Raw genomic sequence first — 16903 nt, forward strand, 5'->3', positions numbered from 1 at the left:
AACCTGGTTTCCAAAGACTTAGGATAGGCAAAATATATAAAACATCTCATTCATAAATTTTACATTGCTTACATATGGAAATGACCATATTTTGGACATATTAGTTTAGGTAAATTTTTTTTCTTTTTTTATTATACTTTAAGTTCTAGAGTACATGTGCACAACGTGCAGGTTTGTTACATAGGTATACATGTGACATGTTGGTTTGCTGCACCCATCAACTCATCATTTACATTAGGTATTCCTCCTAATGCTATCCCTCCCCAATCCCCCCACCTCGTGACAGGCCCTGGTGTATGATGTTCCCTGTCCTGTGTCCAAGTGTTCTCATTGTTCAATTCCCACCTGTGGTGAGAACATGCGGTGTTTGGTTTTCTGTCCTTGTGATAGTTTGCTGAGAATGATGATTTCCAGCTTCATCCATGTCCCTGCAAAGGACATGAACTCATCCTTTTTTATGGATGCATAGTATTCCATGGTGTATATGTGCCATATTTTCTTAATCCAGTCTATCATTGATGGATATTTGGGTTGGTTCCAAGTCTTTGCAATTGTGAATAGTGTCACAATAAACGTATGTGTGCATGTGTCTTTATAGCAGCATGATTTATAATCCTTTGGGTATATACCCAGTAATGGGATCACTGGGTCAAATGGTATTTCTAGTTCTAGATCCTTGAGGAATTGCCACACTGTCTTCCACAATGGTTGAACTAATTTACACTCCCAACAACAGTGTAAAAGCGTTCCTATTTCTCCACATCCTCTCCAGCATTTGTTGTTTCCTGACTTTTTAATGATTGCCATTCTAACTGGTGTGAGATGGTATCTCATGGTGGTTTTGATTTGCATTTCTCTGATGACCAGTGATGATAAGCATTTTTTCATGTGTCTGTTGGCTGCATAAATGTCTTCTTTTGAGAAGTGTCTGTTCATATCCTTCGCCCACTTTTGGATGGGTTTTTTTGTTTTTTTTTCTTGTAAATTTGTTTAAGTTCTTTGTAGATTCTGGATATTAGCCCTTTGTCAGATGGGTAGATTGCAAAAATTTTCTCCCATTCTGTAGGTTGCCTGTTCACTCTGATGGTAGTTTCTTTTGCCATACAGAAGCTCTTTAGTTTAATTAGATCCCATTTGTCTATTTTGGCTTTTGTTGCCTTTGCTTTTGGTGTTTTAGTCATGAAGTCCTTGCTCATGCCTATGTCCTTAATGATATTGCCTAGGCTTTCTTCTAGGGTTTTTATGGTTTTAGGTCTAACATTTAAATCTTTAATCCATCTTGAATTAATTTTTGTATAAGGTGTAAGGAAGGGATGCAGTTTCAGCTTTCTACAGATGGCTAGCCAGTTCTCCCAGCACCATTTATTAAATAGGGAATCATTTCCCCATATCTTGTTTTTGTCAGGTTTGTCAAAGATCAGATGGTTGTAGATGTGTAGTGTTATTTCTGAGGCCTCTGTCCTGTTCCATTGGTCTATGTATCTGTTTTGGTGCCAGTATCATGCTGTTTTGGTTACTGTAGCCTTGTAGTATAGTTTGAAGTCAGGTAGCATGATGCCTCTAGCTTTATTCTTTTTGCTTAGGATTGTCTTGGCTATGTGGGCTCTTTTTTGGTTCCATATGAACTTTAGAATAGTTTTTTCCAATTCTGTGAAGAAAGTCATTGGTAGCTTGATGGGGATGGCATTGAATCTATAAATTACCTTGGGCAGTATGGCCATTTTCACAATATTGATTCTTCCTATCCATGAGCATGGATGTTCTTCCATTTGTTAGTGTCCTCTTTTATTTTGTTGAGCAGTGATTTGTAGTTCTCCTTGAAGAGGTCCTTCACATCCCTTGTAAGTTGGATTCCGAGGTATTTTATTCTCCTTGTAGCAATTACGAATGGGAGTTCATTCATGATTTGGCTCTCTGTTTGTCTGTTATTGGTGTATAGGAATGCTTGTGATTTTTGCACATTGATTTTGTATGCTGAGACTTTGCTGAAGTTGCTTATCAGCTTAAGGAGATTTTGGGCTGAGACGATGGGGTTTTCTAAATATACCACCATGTCATCTGCAAACAGGGACAATTTGACTTCCTTTTTTCCTAACTGAATACCCTTTATTTCTTTCTCTTGCCTGATTGCCCTGGCCAGAACTTCCAATGCCATGATGAATAGGAGTGGTGAGAGAGGGCATCCTTGTCTTGTGCCAGTTTTCAAAGGCAATACTTCCAGTTTTTCCCATTCAGTATGATATTGGCTGTGTGTTTGTCATAAATAGTTCTTAATATTTTGAGATACATTCCATCAATACTTAGTTTATTGAGAGTTTTTAACATGAAGTGCTGTTGAATTTTGTCGAAGGCCTTTTCTGCATCTATTGAGATAATCATGTGGTTTTTGTCATTGGTTCTGTTCATGTGATGGATTACGTTTATTGATTTGTGTATGTTGAACCAGCCTTGCATCCCAGGGATGAAGCTAACTTGATCATGGTGGATAAGTTTTTTGATGTGCTGCTGGATTCGGTTTGCAAGTATTTTATTGAGGATTTTCGCATCGATGTTCATCAGGGATATTGTTCTAAAATTCTCTTTTTTTGTTGTGTCTCTGCCAGGTTTTGGTATCAGGATGATGCTGGCCTCATAAAATGAGTTAGGGAGGATTCCCTCTTTTTCTGTTGATTGGAATAGTTTCAGAAGGAATGGTACCAGCTCCTCTTTGTATCTCTGGCTGAATTCGGCTGTGAATCCATCTGGTCCTGGACTTTTTTTGGTTGGTAAGCTATTAATTATGCCTCAATTTCAGAGCCTGCTATTGGTCTATTCAGAGATTCAATGTCTTCTTGGTTTAGTCTTGGGAGGGTGTATGTGTCCACGAATTTATCCATTTCTTCTAGATTTTCTAGTTTATTTGCTTAGTGGTGTTTACAGTATTCTCTGATGGTAGTTTGTGTTTCTGTGGGATCGGTGGTGATATCCCCTTTATCATTTTTTATCACATCTATTTGATTCTTCTCTCTTTTCTTCTTTATTAGTCTTGCTAGTGGTCTATCAATTTTGTTGATCCTTTCAAAAAAACCAGCTCCTGGATTCATTGATTTTTTGAAGGGTTTTTGTGTCTCTATCTCCTTCAGTTCTGCTCTGATCTTAGTTATTTCTTGCCTTCTGCTAGCTTTTGAATTTGTTTGCTCTTACTTCTCTAGTTCTTTTAATTGTGATGTTAGGGTTTTGATTTTGGATCTTTCCTGCTTTCTCTTGTGGGCATTTAGTGCTATAAATTTCCCTCTACACACTGCTTTAAATATGTCCCAGAGATTCTGGTATGTTGTGTCTTTGTTCTCATTGGTTTCAAAGAACATCTTTATTTATGCCTTCATTTTGTTATGTACCCAGTAGTCATTCAGGAGCAGGTTGTTCAGTTTCCATGTAGTTGTGCAGTTTTGAGTGAGTTTCTTAATCCTGAGTTCTAATTTGATTGCAGTGTGGTCTGAGAGACAGTTTGTTGTGATTTCTGTTCTTTTATATTTGCTGAGGAGTGCTTTACTTCCAATTATGGGTCAGTTTTAGAATAAGAGTGATGTGGTGCTGAGAAGAATGTATATTCTGTTGATTTGGAGAGTTCTGTAGATGTCTATTAGGTCCGCTTGGTGCAGAGCTGAGTTCAATTCCTGGATATCCTTGTTAACCTTCTGTCTCGTTGATCTGTCTAATATTGACAGTGGGGTGTTAAAGTCTCCCATTATTATTGTGTGGGAGTCTAAGTCTCTTTGTAGGTCTCTAAGGACTTGCTTTATGAATCTGGGTGCTCCTGTATTGGGTGCATATATATTCAGGATAGTTAGCTCTTCTTGTTGAATTGATCCCTTTACCATTATGTAATGGCCTTCTTTGTCTCTTTTGATCTTTGTTGGTTTAAAGTCTGTTTTATCAGAGACTAGGATTGCAACCCTTACTTTTTTTTTTCCTTTTGTCTTTTTTTCTTCTTTCCATTTACTTGGCAGATCTTCCTCCATCCCTTTATTTTGAGCCTATGTGTGTCTCTGCACATGAGATGGGTCTCCTGAATACAGCACGCTGATGGGTCTTGACTCTTTACCCAATTTGTCGGTCTGTATCTTTTAATTGGGGCATTTAGCCCATTTACATTTAAGGTTAATATTGTTATGTGTGAATTTGATCCTGTCATTATGATGTTAGCTGGTTATTTTGCCCATTAATTGATGCAGTTTCTTCATAGCATCGATGGTCTTTACAATTTGGCATGTTTTTGCAGTGGCTGGTACCAGATGTTCCTTTCCATGTTTAGTGCATCCTTCAGGAGCTCTTGTAAGGCAGGCCTGGTGGTGACAAAATCTCTCAGCATTTGCTTGTCTGTAAGGGATTTTATTTCTCCTTCACTTATGAAGTTTAGTTTGGCTGGATATGAAATTCTGGGTTGAAAATTGTTTTCTTTAAGAATGTTGAATATTGGCCCCCACACTCTTCTGGCTTGTAAGGTTTCTGCTGAGAGATCCACTGTTAGTCTGATGGGCTTCCCTTTGTGGGTAACCCGACCTTTCTCTCTGGCTGCCTTTAACATTTTTTCCTTCATTTCAACCTTGGTGAATCTGACAATTATGTGTCTTGGGGTTGCTCTTCTCAAGGAGTATCTTTGTGGTATTCTCTGTATTTCCTGAATTTGAATGTTGGCCTACCTTGCTAGATTGGGGAAGTTCTCCTGCATAATATCCTGAAGAGTGTTTTGTGACTTGGTTCCATTCTCCCTGTCACTTTCAGGTACACCATTCAAATGTCGGTTTGGTCTTTTCACATAGTCCCATATTTCTTGGAGGCTTGGTTTGTTTCTTTTTACTCTTCTCTCTAAATTTGTCTTCTTGCTTTATTTCATTAATTTGATCTTCAATCACTGATATCCTTTCTTCCACTTGATCAAATCGGCTATTGAAGCTTGTGCATGTGTCACGAAGTTCTCATGCCATGTTTTTCAGCTCCATCAGGTCATTTAAGGTCTTCTCTACACTGTTGATTCTAGTTAGCCATTCGTCTAACATTTTTTCAAGGTTTTTAGCTTCCTTGTGATGGGTTAGAACATACTCCTTTAGCTTGAAGAAGTTTGTTATTACCGACCTTCTGAAGCCTACTTCTGTCAACTCATCAAAGTCATTCTCCATCCAGCTTTGTTCTGTTGCTGGCGAGGAGCTGTGATCCTTTGGAGGAGAAGAGACACTCTGGTTTTTAGAATTTTCAGCTTTTCTGCTCTAGGTTTCTCCCCATTTTTGTGGTTTTATCTAACTTTGGTCTTTGATGTTGGTGACCTACAGATGAGTTTTTGGTGTGGATGTCCTTTTTGTTGATGTTGATGCTATTCCTTTCTGTTTGTTAGTTTTCCTTCTAACAGTCAGGTCCCTCAGCTGCAGGTCTATTGGAGTTTTCTGGAGGTCCACTCCAGACGCTGTTTGCCTGGGTATCACCAGTGGAGGCTGCAGAACAGCAAATACTGCAGAACAGCAATTATTGCTGCCTGATCCTTCCTCTGGAAGCTTCATCCTAGAGGGGCACCTGCCTGTATGAGGTGTCTGTCAGCCCCTACTGGGAGGCGTCCCCCAGTTAGGCTACGTGGGGGTCAGGGACCCACTTGAGGAGGCAGTCTGGCCATTCTCAGAGCTCAAACACCATGCTGGGAGAACCACTGCTCTCTTCAGAGCTGTCAGACAGGGACATTTAGCTCTTCAGAAGTTTCTGCTCCCTTCTGTTCAGCTATGCCCTGCCCACAGAGTTGGAGTCTACAGAGGCAGTAGGCCTTGCTGACACGCGGTGGGCTCCACCCAGTTTGAGCTTCCTGGCTGCTTTGTTTACCTACTCAAGCCTCAGCAATGGCAGACGCCCCTCCCCCCGCCAGGCTGCTGCCTTGCAGGTCAATCTCAGACTGCTGCCCTCGCAGTGAGCAAGTCTCCATGGGCGTGGGACCTGCCAAGTGTGGCACGGGAGAGAATCTCCTGGTCTACCGGTTGCTAAGACTGTGGGAAAAACGCAGTATTTGGACAGAAGTGTCCCATTTTCCCAGGTACCATCTGTCATGGCTTCCCTTGGCTAGGAAAGGGAAATCCCCTGACCCTTAGCGCTTCCCAGGTGAGGCGAAGCCCCACCCTGCTTTGGCTCACCCACTGCAGGCTGCACCCACTGTCCAACCAGTCTCAATGAGATGAACCAGGTACCTCAGTTGGAAATGCAGAAATCACCCATCTTCTTTGTCAATCATGCTGGGAGCTGCAGACCTGAGCTGTTCCTAGTTGGCCATCTTGGAATGGATGCCTTAAATATATTACTAAATTAATTTCACCTGTTTCTTTTTCCTTTTTTTTTTTTTTAGACAGAGTCTCGCTCTGTTGCCCAGGCTGCAGTACAGTGGCATGATCTCAGCTCACTGTTACCTCTGCCTTCCAGGTTCAAGTGATTCTCCTGCCTCAGCCTCTTGAGTAGCTGGGATTACAGGTGTGTGCCATCACCTTCACTTAATTTTTGTATTTTTAGTAGAGACAGGGTCTCACCATATTGGCCAGACTGGTCTCAAACTCCTGACCTAAACATGATCCTCCCACCTCTGCCTCCCAAAGTGCTGGGATTACAGGCATGAGCCACTGTGTCCAGTCTTTTTTTGCTTTTGTAATGAGGCTGCTAGAAAAATTTAAAAATTTTAATTACCTGTGTGGCTCACACTATGTTTCAGTGGGACAATGCTGCTGTAGATCTTGATTAGGGTGTTGGTTGCACATTTGCCAAAACTCATCAGGAATATCTTATGGATATAAGATCTGTCCATTTCACCATATATAGATTATACCTTGATTATAAAACAAATTTTAGTGAGCACCTACTAAGTGCTGCCAGACATTGTATTAGGCATTGGTAATGCCATGCTGTAGAAGAAACACACCCAGTCTCTGCTCAACCTAGTCAGAGAAACTGACTCTAATTAAATAATTCCTCTAAAAATGAATGTATTGCCTTACCAAGCTTAAGACTGCTGAGGCCAAAACGGCATTTAGGCATCTTTGCCACCCATCACTGCCTAGCCCAGGGAGGGGTGCATATTAGACGACCAGCAAATTCTGATGCACTGGGTTGAACTATTGAACTAGTTAAAGCTCATTTCCTGAAACAGGCAGCTCAACAGAGGCTATCTGGGGAATGTTTCTGCCTTTGAGCCAGACCAACTAATATGAGACAAAAAAGCTTTTGTCTTTCTATAAAATTTCCAGGGATAGAAGGATCTAGTCTATCCCCATTTTTGGCCTGCTCTTTGGGGATATAATCCTAGTGTAAGTCATAAAATTTTTTGGTTAAATACTCTGAGCCTCATGGGTAAATAGTGTGAGAACCAGGGTAGTCAAAATTCGTCCAAAAAAAGTAGATTTGCTTATTTAAGTTTGAGAGTGTATGTACAGGCTGCTTTTGCTTTCCAGATATTTTGAAGTAAAGTGTTAGGAAACATCCCCACAGAACAGGTGTTCCTGCCACAGTGGGTTTACTCATGTTTGTTAGTTTTTTAGGAAAGGTTTGTAAATAGGCTCCAGCTGGCTTTCCTGCCCAGTTCTTCAAGCCTTCGTAGAGGAGTTGCTCCTTGCCTCAGAGCTCTCTCTCTCTGCAATATCCACTTCCACGCATCTTAGGACTAAAGGGGAACCACTCAAGCAGTCCCTCTTTGCTGATGAGGTTTTAAAGGAAGCCACCCCATGACCTGGTAGAAGTCACTTAAGTGTCTGGATCCATTAGAGACCACTGAAGTGAAAATCCAACTTGTAGCAGCTGTAGAAAAACCCTTTATATTAATTCATTTCAGGGAGGTTATTGACTTCTGCTCTGAGCTGAGCCTACAGGGGCCCAGGAGACATATAGAAGGACCTAGGTCTCTACCCTCAAGAATCCCAAATCCAGCAGGAGTATAATGAGCACCGTTACCACCAAGTCACAGGTAAGAGGGCCCAAAGAGAGTATTGGGGGATACAGGGAAGGGTGGGTTCATTCCAGCTACGGAGGGCTGAACAACAGCTCCTGAGCACCTCTACTATGCCAGGCACTGTGCTGGGCTCTGAGTCTGGACACATGGCTTAGGGTGGTCTCTTGCCTCCTCCATACACCTTACCCTCCTCACAGCAGCCAGAGAGATCATTTGCAATCATAAACCAGATCATGTTACACTTCTAGTTAAACACTTTCAATGACATCCCATTGTACTTAGAATAAAGCTCAAATTTCTCATTATTGTTAGTCTTAGTCAGCTACTATTGTGTAACAAACCATCCCCAAAACAAGCCATTCCAAAACACAGTGGGCTAACAACAACAGTAACATATTATCACATGTCCATCTGTCAGCTGGATCAGCTGATTTAGGCTAACGACCGTTCCGCATGCTTTGGACCAGCACATTAGCCTTGACGTGTTTTGCTGGTGATGCTGGCAGAAACAAGATAGCAATTTAAAACATATGAATCCTCTCAAGGCCTAGGCTGGAACTTCTATAGGAATATCAGTTGGCCAAAGTAAATCTTGTGGCCAAGCCCAAAGGCAAAGGACAGGTGTCTACACCCACAATGACACTGAGGCAAGGCTGTGAATGCAGGGAGGGGTTAAAAGTTGGGGCCAACAATGCAATCTGTGACCTATCCTCTACCTACATCACCATACTCACCTTGTATCATGTCCTCTTCCTTCGCTCCAACAACACTGGCCTTTCTTCACCCCTTAAATGCAACACACTCTTTCCTACTCCAAGGCTTTTGCACAATTCTTCCCTCTGCCTGAAAGAATCTTTTCCTCGTTCTTTCCAGGATGACTTTCTCTTATCCTGATGTCAGCTAAAATGTCTCTCCTTAGAGATGCTTTTCCTAACCCCCCAAGTAGAGTAGACTCCACTTTTAATTTTCTCATGATGCCCTTCATCATACCCATCACAATTTGTACTTATATTTTTAACTGTTCATTGTCCATGTCCCCAATAGACTGAAAGCTTCACAAAGAATGACAATGTGTCTGTTTTGTCCACCAAATTGTATCCTCAATGCCTTTACAGTGTCTGGCATATAGCAGGTGTCCAGTTCATAAAGCGTCATTGAGGTTGCATTTGAGCTGATCTTTCAAAACAGCTACAATTTAAAAGGCAGTTGGAGAAAAGGCATTCCAGGCATAAGAAACAGCCTTAAGCCAATGGTTCTCAATGTGTGGCCGCAGATCAGCAGCACGGGCATCAGCATCACCTAGGAACTTGTTAGAAATGCACATTCTTGGCCAGGCACAGTGGCTCACACCTATAATCCTAGCACTTTGGGAGGCCAGCGAGGGCAGATCATGAGGTCAGGAGTTCAAGACCAGCCTGGCCAACATAGTGAAACCCCATCTCTACTAAAAATACAAAAATTAGCCAGCCGTGGTGGTGCGCACCCGTAGTCCCAGCTACTCGGGAGGCTGAGGCAGGAAAATCGCTTGAACCCAGGAGATGGATGTTGCAGTGAGCTGAGATAGCGCCACTGCACTCCAGCTTGGGCAGCAGAGTGAGACTTTGTCTCAAGAAAAGTAAGAAAGAAAGAAAGAAAGAAAGAAAGAAAGAAAGAAAGAAAGAAAGAAAGAAAGAAAGAAAGAAAGAAAGAAAGAAAGAAAGAAAGAAAGAAGGAAGGAAGGAAGGAAGGAAGGAAGGAAGGAAGGAAGGAAGGAAGGAAGGAAGGAAGGAAAGAAATGCACATTCTTAGGCTCTGCCACAGATCTTTTAAATCAGGATCTCTGGGGGTGGGGCCCAACAATATTTGTTTTAACAAGCTCCTTAGATGATTCTGATATAGACTAAAGTTCGAGAACCACTGGCCCAAGCCAGAATTCAGAAAACTTTTTTTCTATAAAGGACAAGATAGTAAATATTTTAGGCTTTGCGGGTCAGATAGTCCCTGTTGCAAACTCTGAACTCTGTAGTTGTTGTGTGAAAGCAGCCACAGATGATATGCAAATAAATGGGTGTAGTGATATTACTTACAAAAAACGGGCAGGTGTGGCCTGTGAGCTGTAGTTTCCCCACCCCCAACCTCAGCAAAGGTACCCATGTCAAAGCATGCACTTTTTTTTTTTTTTTTTTTGAGACAGAGTCTCACTCTGTTGCCAAGGCTGAAGTGCAGTGGCACTATCTATCTCAGCTCACTGCAACCTCCACCTCCCAGGTTCAAGCGATTCTCCTGTCTCAGCCTCCCTAGTAGCTGGGATTACAGGCACACACCACCACACCCAGCTAATTTTTGTGTTTTTGTTTTCTTTTTATTGAGATGGAGTATCGCTCTTGTTGCCCAGGCTGGAGTGCAATGGTGCAATCACGGCTCACTGCAACCTCTGTCTCCCAGGTTCAAGCAATTCTCCTGCCTCAGCCTCCTGAGTAGCTGGGATTACAGGCGTGCACCCCCACGCCCAGCTAATTTTTTGTATGTTTAGTAGAGACGGGGTTTCACCATGTTGACCAGGCTGGTCTTGAACTCCTGACCTCACGTGATTCACTCGCCTCAGCCTCCCAGAGTGCTAGGATTACAGGCATGAACCAGCGCGCCCGGCCTAATTTTTGTATTTTTAGTAGAGACAGGGTTTCACCATGTTGGCCAGGTTGGTCTCGAACTCCTAACCTCAGGTGATCCGCCTACCTCGGCCTCCCAAAGTGCTGGGATTATAGGTGTGAGCCACCGCCCCTGGCCCGCAACATGCACTTTTTTTTTTTTTTCTGAGATGGAGTCTCACTCTGTTGCCCAGGCTGGAGTGCAGTGGCACCGTATCAGCTCACTGCAACCTCCATCTCCTGGGTTCAAGCAATTCTCCTGTCTCAGCCTCCCAAGTAGCTGGGATTACAGGTGCCCACCACCACATGCCCAGCTAATTTTTTTATATTGTTATTAGAGACAGGGTTTCACCATGTTGGCCAGGCTGGTCTCGAACTCCTGACCTCAGGTGATCCACCCGCCTCGGCCTCCCAAAGTGCTGGGATTACAGGCATGAGCCACCGCACCATTTAAGCTCACAATTCACATCTCTAGCTAACGGAAGTAAAATTTCAGAGCTAAACAAATTTCTTTTTTATAAAAATTCCATTTATTCAACAAATTAGTAAATGCCTTCTCCACATTTAATATACAGAAATGAAAAAGACGTTATCAGCAACCTTCCAAAAAAGGAACTCAAATTAGCTGAGCGCCTGTCATGAGCCAGCAACTGCACGTGTGTTGTCCCATTTATTCCTCGCACAACCCTACCACGTTGGTGCTATTCTCCCCATTTGACAATTAAGGAGACTGAGGTTCAGAGGCCAAAGTGGCTTGCTCTAGGCCACACAGCCAGGATTCTGACCAATTCCAAAGCCAGGGCTGTGTCTCCCAAGGGAAAGACCCGCCAGTCAGTGCAGACTGGGCTTGTTTCATGAAAACCACTTTGGTGCATGTGTCTTTGTGACAGGGTGTACCTTCACGCCATCAGGCCTGACCAGTAGCCCCACCGCCCTGCCTCCCTAGTCCTGCCACCAGTACCTTCTCCTTCTCCCTTCAGGAAAGTCAGCCAAGCACAGTTACTCATACCTGTAATCCCAGCATTTAGGGAGGCTGAGACAGGAGGATCATTTGAGCCCAAGAGACCAGCCTGGACAATATAGTGAGACCCCATCTCTACAAAAAACAAAAACTTAGCTGGGCATGGTGGTGCATGCCTGTAGTCACCCAGCTTGGGAGGCTGAGGCAGAAGGACCACTTGAGCCCAACAGCTAGAGGCTACAGTGAGCTATGATTGTACCACTGTACTCCAGCAACAGAGCAGGACCCTGTCTCAAAAAAATAAAAAAAAAGGAAAGTCAAATGCCACTTGTCCCATCTGCCAAAAGAGCCGTGAAATGAATCTGAAAGAAAGTGAAGAAATAAATCACAACTTTCCCATGTGTTGTGTGCCTCTTCTCAAAACACAAGCTGGGGCTCCCTGGGAGATGGGAGTGTCACTACTGTTTAATAATACGCAAAGTAATTTTTTAGGAAGAATGTGCTTTTTTGGATGAATATTGATTGAATCCCATCTTTCTGACCAGAGAGCTAAATCAAGCCTTTCAGGCAGGTGATTGAAACGACACTAGAAGTCTATTTGATTTCACTCAAGCCCACCCTTGTGAGAAGGGAACTAAGAGCTTCCTGCTATCTCAAGAATCATCAGATTAAGGAGAACCTGGAGCTAATAAGGAACCAGAGAGTCTGTTTCAGCCCCAGCTTCTGGCTGTATGCAGCTGGTTCTGAAGAGACTGGGATCCCCAGGGGCCAGGAGCAGTGACTTTCCACCTCTCCCGCCCACAAAGTTTCTCCTTCCAGCCAATATAATGTTTTTTGTTTCAGGTTAGCTTTGCAGAAATAAATTCATGCATTTTCTGCAGTTAACTGAGGCATGAAAGGGGCCATGGCTTTGGGGAAGAGACTGGTTTGCACAGCACTGTGCCAGGAAGGGACCCAGACTCCTGGGAGGTGCTTAAGCAAAACAGGAGGAGCTATGGACATGTCCTCAACCTGGCTTTGTTTCTGCACAGCAGCCACTAGTGTACTCTCATCCCCTTGTCCCCTCTCCTGGCCCATCTGAGACCTGGTCCCAGTGAATCCCCTGGGAAGGCTCTGGCTCCCCCAGAAAGGGAGGAACAAAGGACTTTCCAAAATGCTGCAGGCATTCCAAATTCTCTTTTTGGAGCGGTGAATCCTCGGGGACAGCTAACAACACTCTCCCATCAGCCTCTTCTCCATAGCTATCATCTGTCTATCTTTATAAGGCCCCTCCTGATACACTGTCTCTTTTCTGTCTTGCCACCTAGCTCCTCCCCAGGCCTACTTCTCCCTCTTCCCCAAAGACAACCTCAAAACACCTCAGAGATTAACTGAAAGCTGTATCCAGAGTATGATCAGTTTAGCTCAGCCAGAAGCCTCTTGCACCCCCTTTGTCACAGCTCCTGTGACAAAGACGCTCTCCCAAATGGGCAGGAGAACCAGAGGGCAAGGCCCCAGAGCAGCGGCCTGGCAGGCCCAGGGATGGCCTCCTTTTCAGGGAACAAAATTACCCTGAGAACTCTGAAGAGTCACCAGCATGCGGGTCTAGAAGGCGGCCTGCTTGGAAACAAGTGACCTGCCTGGAGACAGGTAACCTCCCTGGAGACAGGTGACAGGTGACCTCCTGGTGACTGCCCTCCTCATGCTACCTGCACTGCTTTGCCTGGTCTGCGATGTGGGCATGGCCTGGAGCCCATGCCCACAGCAGCTTGCAATAGGCAAAAGCATCCCCATTGTTCCCCTCAAAACCAGATTAAACAAAAGGGAGAGAGAAGTGGGGCCCAGTGGTTGCAAAGGATGCAGAGAGAGAGAATGTGACTAGATTGGATGCACCTGCCCAGAAATGGGGTGAGACCTCATTTATCTTTTTTTCAGGACAGAGTTTCACTCTCGTTGCCCAGGCTGGAGTGCAATGGCGTGATCTTGGCTCACTGCAACCTCTGCCTCCTGGGTTCAAGTGATTCTCCTGCCTCAGCCTCCCGAGTAGCTGGGATTACAGGCATGTGCCACCACGCCCGGCTAATTTTGTATTTTTAGTAGAGATGGAGTTTCTCCATGTTGGTCAGGCTGGTCTCGAACTCCCGACCTCAGGTTATCCACCTTCCTCAGCCTCCCAAAGTGCTGGGATTACAGGCGTGAACCACCGCACCTGGCCGACCTCATCTATCTTTTAACCCCAATAGCTGCCTCTGTGCCTGGCTCTGTGCAATGACGAAGAGAGAGTGAGAGGTGAAAAGAGATAGGAAATCAGGAAGAGAAAGAAATTCTTGGAAAGCACGTTGAGCCAGAGCTCAGAAAACTGAATCGCGGGGCAATGCAGATTCCTCAGGCACCAGACAAAAGGATCCTGGATCAGGTTTGGACTCAGGGGGATGGCCAGCCCAGCCAGACTGAGAGAAGCAAGATGCTGGCTGACCTTGGACAGAGAGTGAGAGTAGTGGGCTGGGAATCAGAAAGCCAGCCCCACTAGCCAGCCCCTTGACAGTGTCCCCTGGGCCTCAGTCTCCTCACCAGTAAAATGGGTTGATGACACCATCTCCAAGATGCCTTCTCACATGTGCTCTGTGCTGGCCTCACCTGTAGACAGCTGGGCCTTGACAGAACTCCCTGCCTGGGCAAAATGTTTTGGGGGCACTCAGAGGGCGAGTCAAAACGTGCTGCTGACCTAGGAAGTCCCCAGAAGGAAGATGGAGAGGAAGGTAGAGACACCAGAAGGTGCATATCCAGACCTGGTGGCAACAGTGGGGCTGGCAGGTGGGGAGGGGGCACAGTCAGGCAGCCACATCCCCTTCCCACTCTCCCTCTGAATGCCACTTCTAAAGCCAGTCCTTTCGTGTTCTTCTGTCTTGCTATTTAATACATCCTGTTCTTTTTCCTCATAGCACCCATCCCGATTTGTTTTCTTATTTAGAAAAAAACCATTTATTATAGAGCACTTATATGTGCCGGGCACTGTTCTAAGTGCTTTATGAATATTAATTCCCTTAATCCTCATAACAACCCTCTGAGTTATGTGCTATGGTTCATCCCATTTTACAGATGAGCAAACTGAGACACAGAAAATGAAGGAACTTGCCCAAGATCACTGCAGTGAAAAAGCAGCAGAGCCAGGATTCAAACCCGTGCCCTTCCGAAGCGCAGGGCTTAGATCTGTTTCATTCACAGTCTGGCACACACGAGGTGCCAGATAAATTTACTGAATACAGAATCAAATGCTAGGATGCAGATTGGCTGACACAGGCTCAAACTGCCACCGAAGAGACCTCTGGGGCGAGGCAGGAACCTGCTCCCACGGCTGTGGAGCATCAAAGATGGGGCCGAGTCTGCTCCCCACCCGGCCCTTCTGCATCCTGGGCCAGGGTTGGCCTGGGCCCTAAGCTGTGAGGAGACCTCAAGAGGATCCCAGAACCTGGCTCCAACCCTTCCTGGGGTCTGTGGGAACAGGAGCCTCTGCCTTCCTGTGGCTTCCTCTGCCCGCCTCCACCTCCATGGTTGGAGACTCCAATTAATTATGCTGTGTAATTAGATAAAGAATATTCATTTTTCATTAATGACGGTAAACCCTTGCTCTGTGGCTGAGTTCCTTATGTTTTAATTAAGCAGGGCTCCTGAAAGCCGCGTGGCTCCTCTGCGAGTGCCCCCTCTTCTAATGAACAGTCACTTAGAATTTTAAGAAGTGAAGGATTCCTTCCCCAAGTTAATTACCTCAAAATTAGCTTAATCACAGCTCATTTAAACTTATCTAAACAACAGCGCGAGGAGTTCCAGGAAACAGAGGTTCTGACTTTCCTTGTTAAGAGTCAAAAAAAATAATAATAACATAAACATCCCCTCTAGTAGGTAGTGGTGACCCCTTAGTCCGTTGGCTGCAGCTTGCTCACAGCAGAAATGTTTACAGCATCTGGGGACTGACCCAGGGCTGGGGACATTCGGCCTTTTCCAAGGCCAATGGCCCACCTGTAGCTGCCTGGGTTCCTGGGGTTGAGGAGTGCTAAGGACCCCTCTCCTAGTGGCTCTGAGAGAGGGAAAAGCCCCAGGCCTTGGGCTGTCACTGCCCCTCCCACCCCCAAACACCCCTGCCTCTCCATGCACTCTTAGGTCAAGTCATAACCAGAGTTGTGGCCTGGCTCCTCCCACTGGGCTTGTACAGACCACAGTGTCTTTGCAGAGCAGGGGACGAGGGGCTGGAGAAGCGCAGACCAGGAATTCCATCTCAACTTTCTGCAGACAAGGCCCTCACCAGCACAAGGCCTGACATCATAGACACTCAATATGCATTTATTGAATGAATTAATGAATGACCAACTGCATGGCCCTAGGATGCAGAGCCAGGATCAATAGAAAAACTTCCAGATTTTAGCTCACTGCAAGAAAAGAATTATCTTCCAGTAAAATTTGCTTAAGCTACCTTGGAAGAACATTTATCGAGGCCTCATTGTGTGGCAGGCACTGGGTTAAGTCCTTAATATCAAGTGTCTTGGATAGTCCTCACAACAGCCTTATGGCATAAAGATGAGTATTATTATCTTCATGAAACTGAGGCACAAAGAGGTGACAGAACTCACCACTCACCCAAGGTCACATTGATAATAAATGGCGGGATTTAAGCCCAAACAGTCAGGCTCCAGAGCCTGTTGGATACGGAGTAAGTTCCCTGGGCTGGGGGTTGTATAAGCGGAAGCTATGGGACCACAGGTCTGGAGGATGCTCTAGAGGGGCCCTGTGTTGGAAGGAAAAAGAGGAGAGACTAGGTCACTCATTAACCCCCATTCTGTTGCAGATTGGAAGGGTTTGAGGCATCCGACATTTCCACCTGCCATGGGAATGCTGCTTAATCCCACCCTGTGGTTTGGAATGGTGAGACTGGAGCAAGCCCTGCAGATAAGCATCAGCCTGCCCCACAGGGACCAGGCAGGCCAGCAGGAGGTGCAGCTTCCCTTCCTCAAAGAAGAGCTGAGTGGAGGCTGTTGCACTCCTGTGCAGAGGGGGCTGGGAGATTATTTATCTGCATCCTCTGTTCCACACAGTTGGCTTTCCTTTGCCAACTCCCTGTAGGGGTGGGAATGCTCAAAAAGCCTGGAAGGGGTGGTGAGCCATCATAAAAGGCTTCCAAAAATAAGAGGCTGCCTTCCTGGTAGAGATAAATGGCTCTGGCAGCCCCACGCTCCCTGCCCCTTCTGCCCAATCCCAGGTCACCCTGGCTCGCCAAAGGACTCTAGCTCCTGGCAAAGATCCAGAACTTGCCAGGTATTACCTGTCCCCTCCTCCAACCACCCCCCCAACCCCACCCCCCAACCACCAAGAGGCGGCACCGCTGCGGAGACGCTGTGT

The 16903-nt window shown here is 45.2% G+C and overlaps 1 annotated feature.

The window, feature by feature from the left end:
* Positions 11349-11518: an enhancer, noted in NCBI's record as "experimental_7809 CRE fragment used in MPRA reporter constructs". NCBI's record gives its function as "activates a minimal promoter by MPRAs in K562 erythroleukemia cells, with activity observed for the introgressed 1:37851941 variant allele {active_cell/tissue: K562}" and the evidence as "EXISTENCE:reporter gene assay evidence [ECO:0000049][PMID:34662402]".

The sequence above is a fragment of the Homo sapiens genome, chromosome 1, assembly GCF_000001405.40.
Source record: "Homo sapiens chromosome 1, GRCh38.p14 Primary Assembly".
In the NCBI taxonomy this organism is placed as follows: domain Eukaryota; kingdom Metazoa; phylum Chordata; class Mammalia; order Primates; family Hominidae; genus Homo; species Homo sapiens.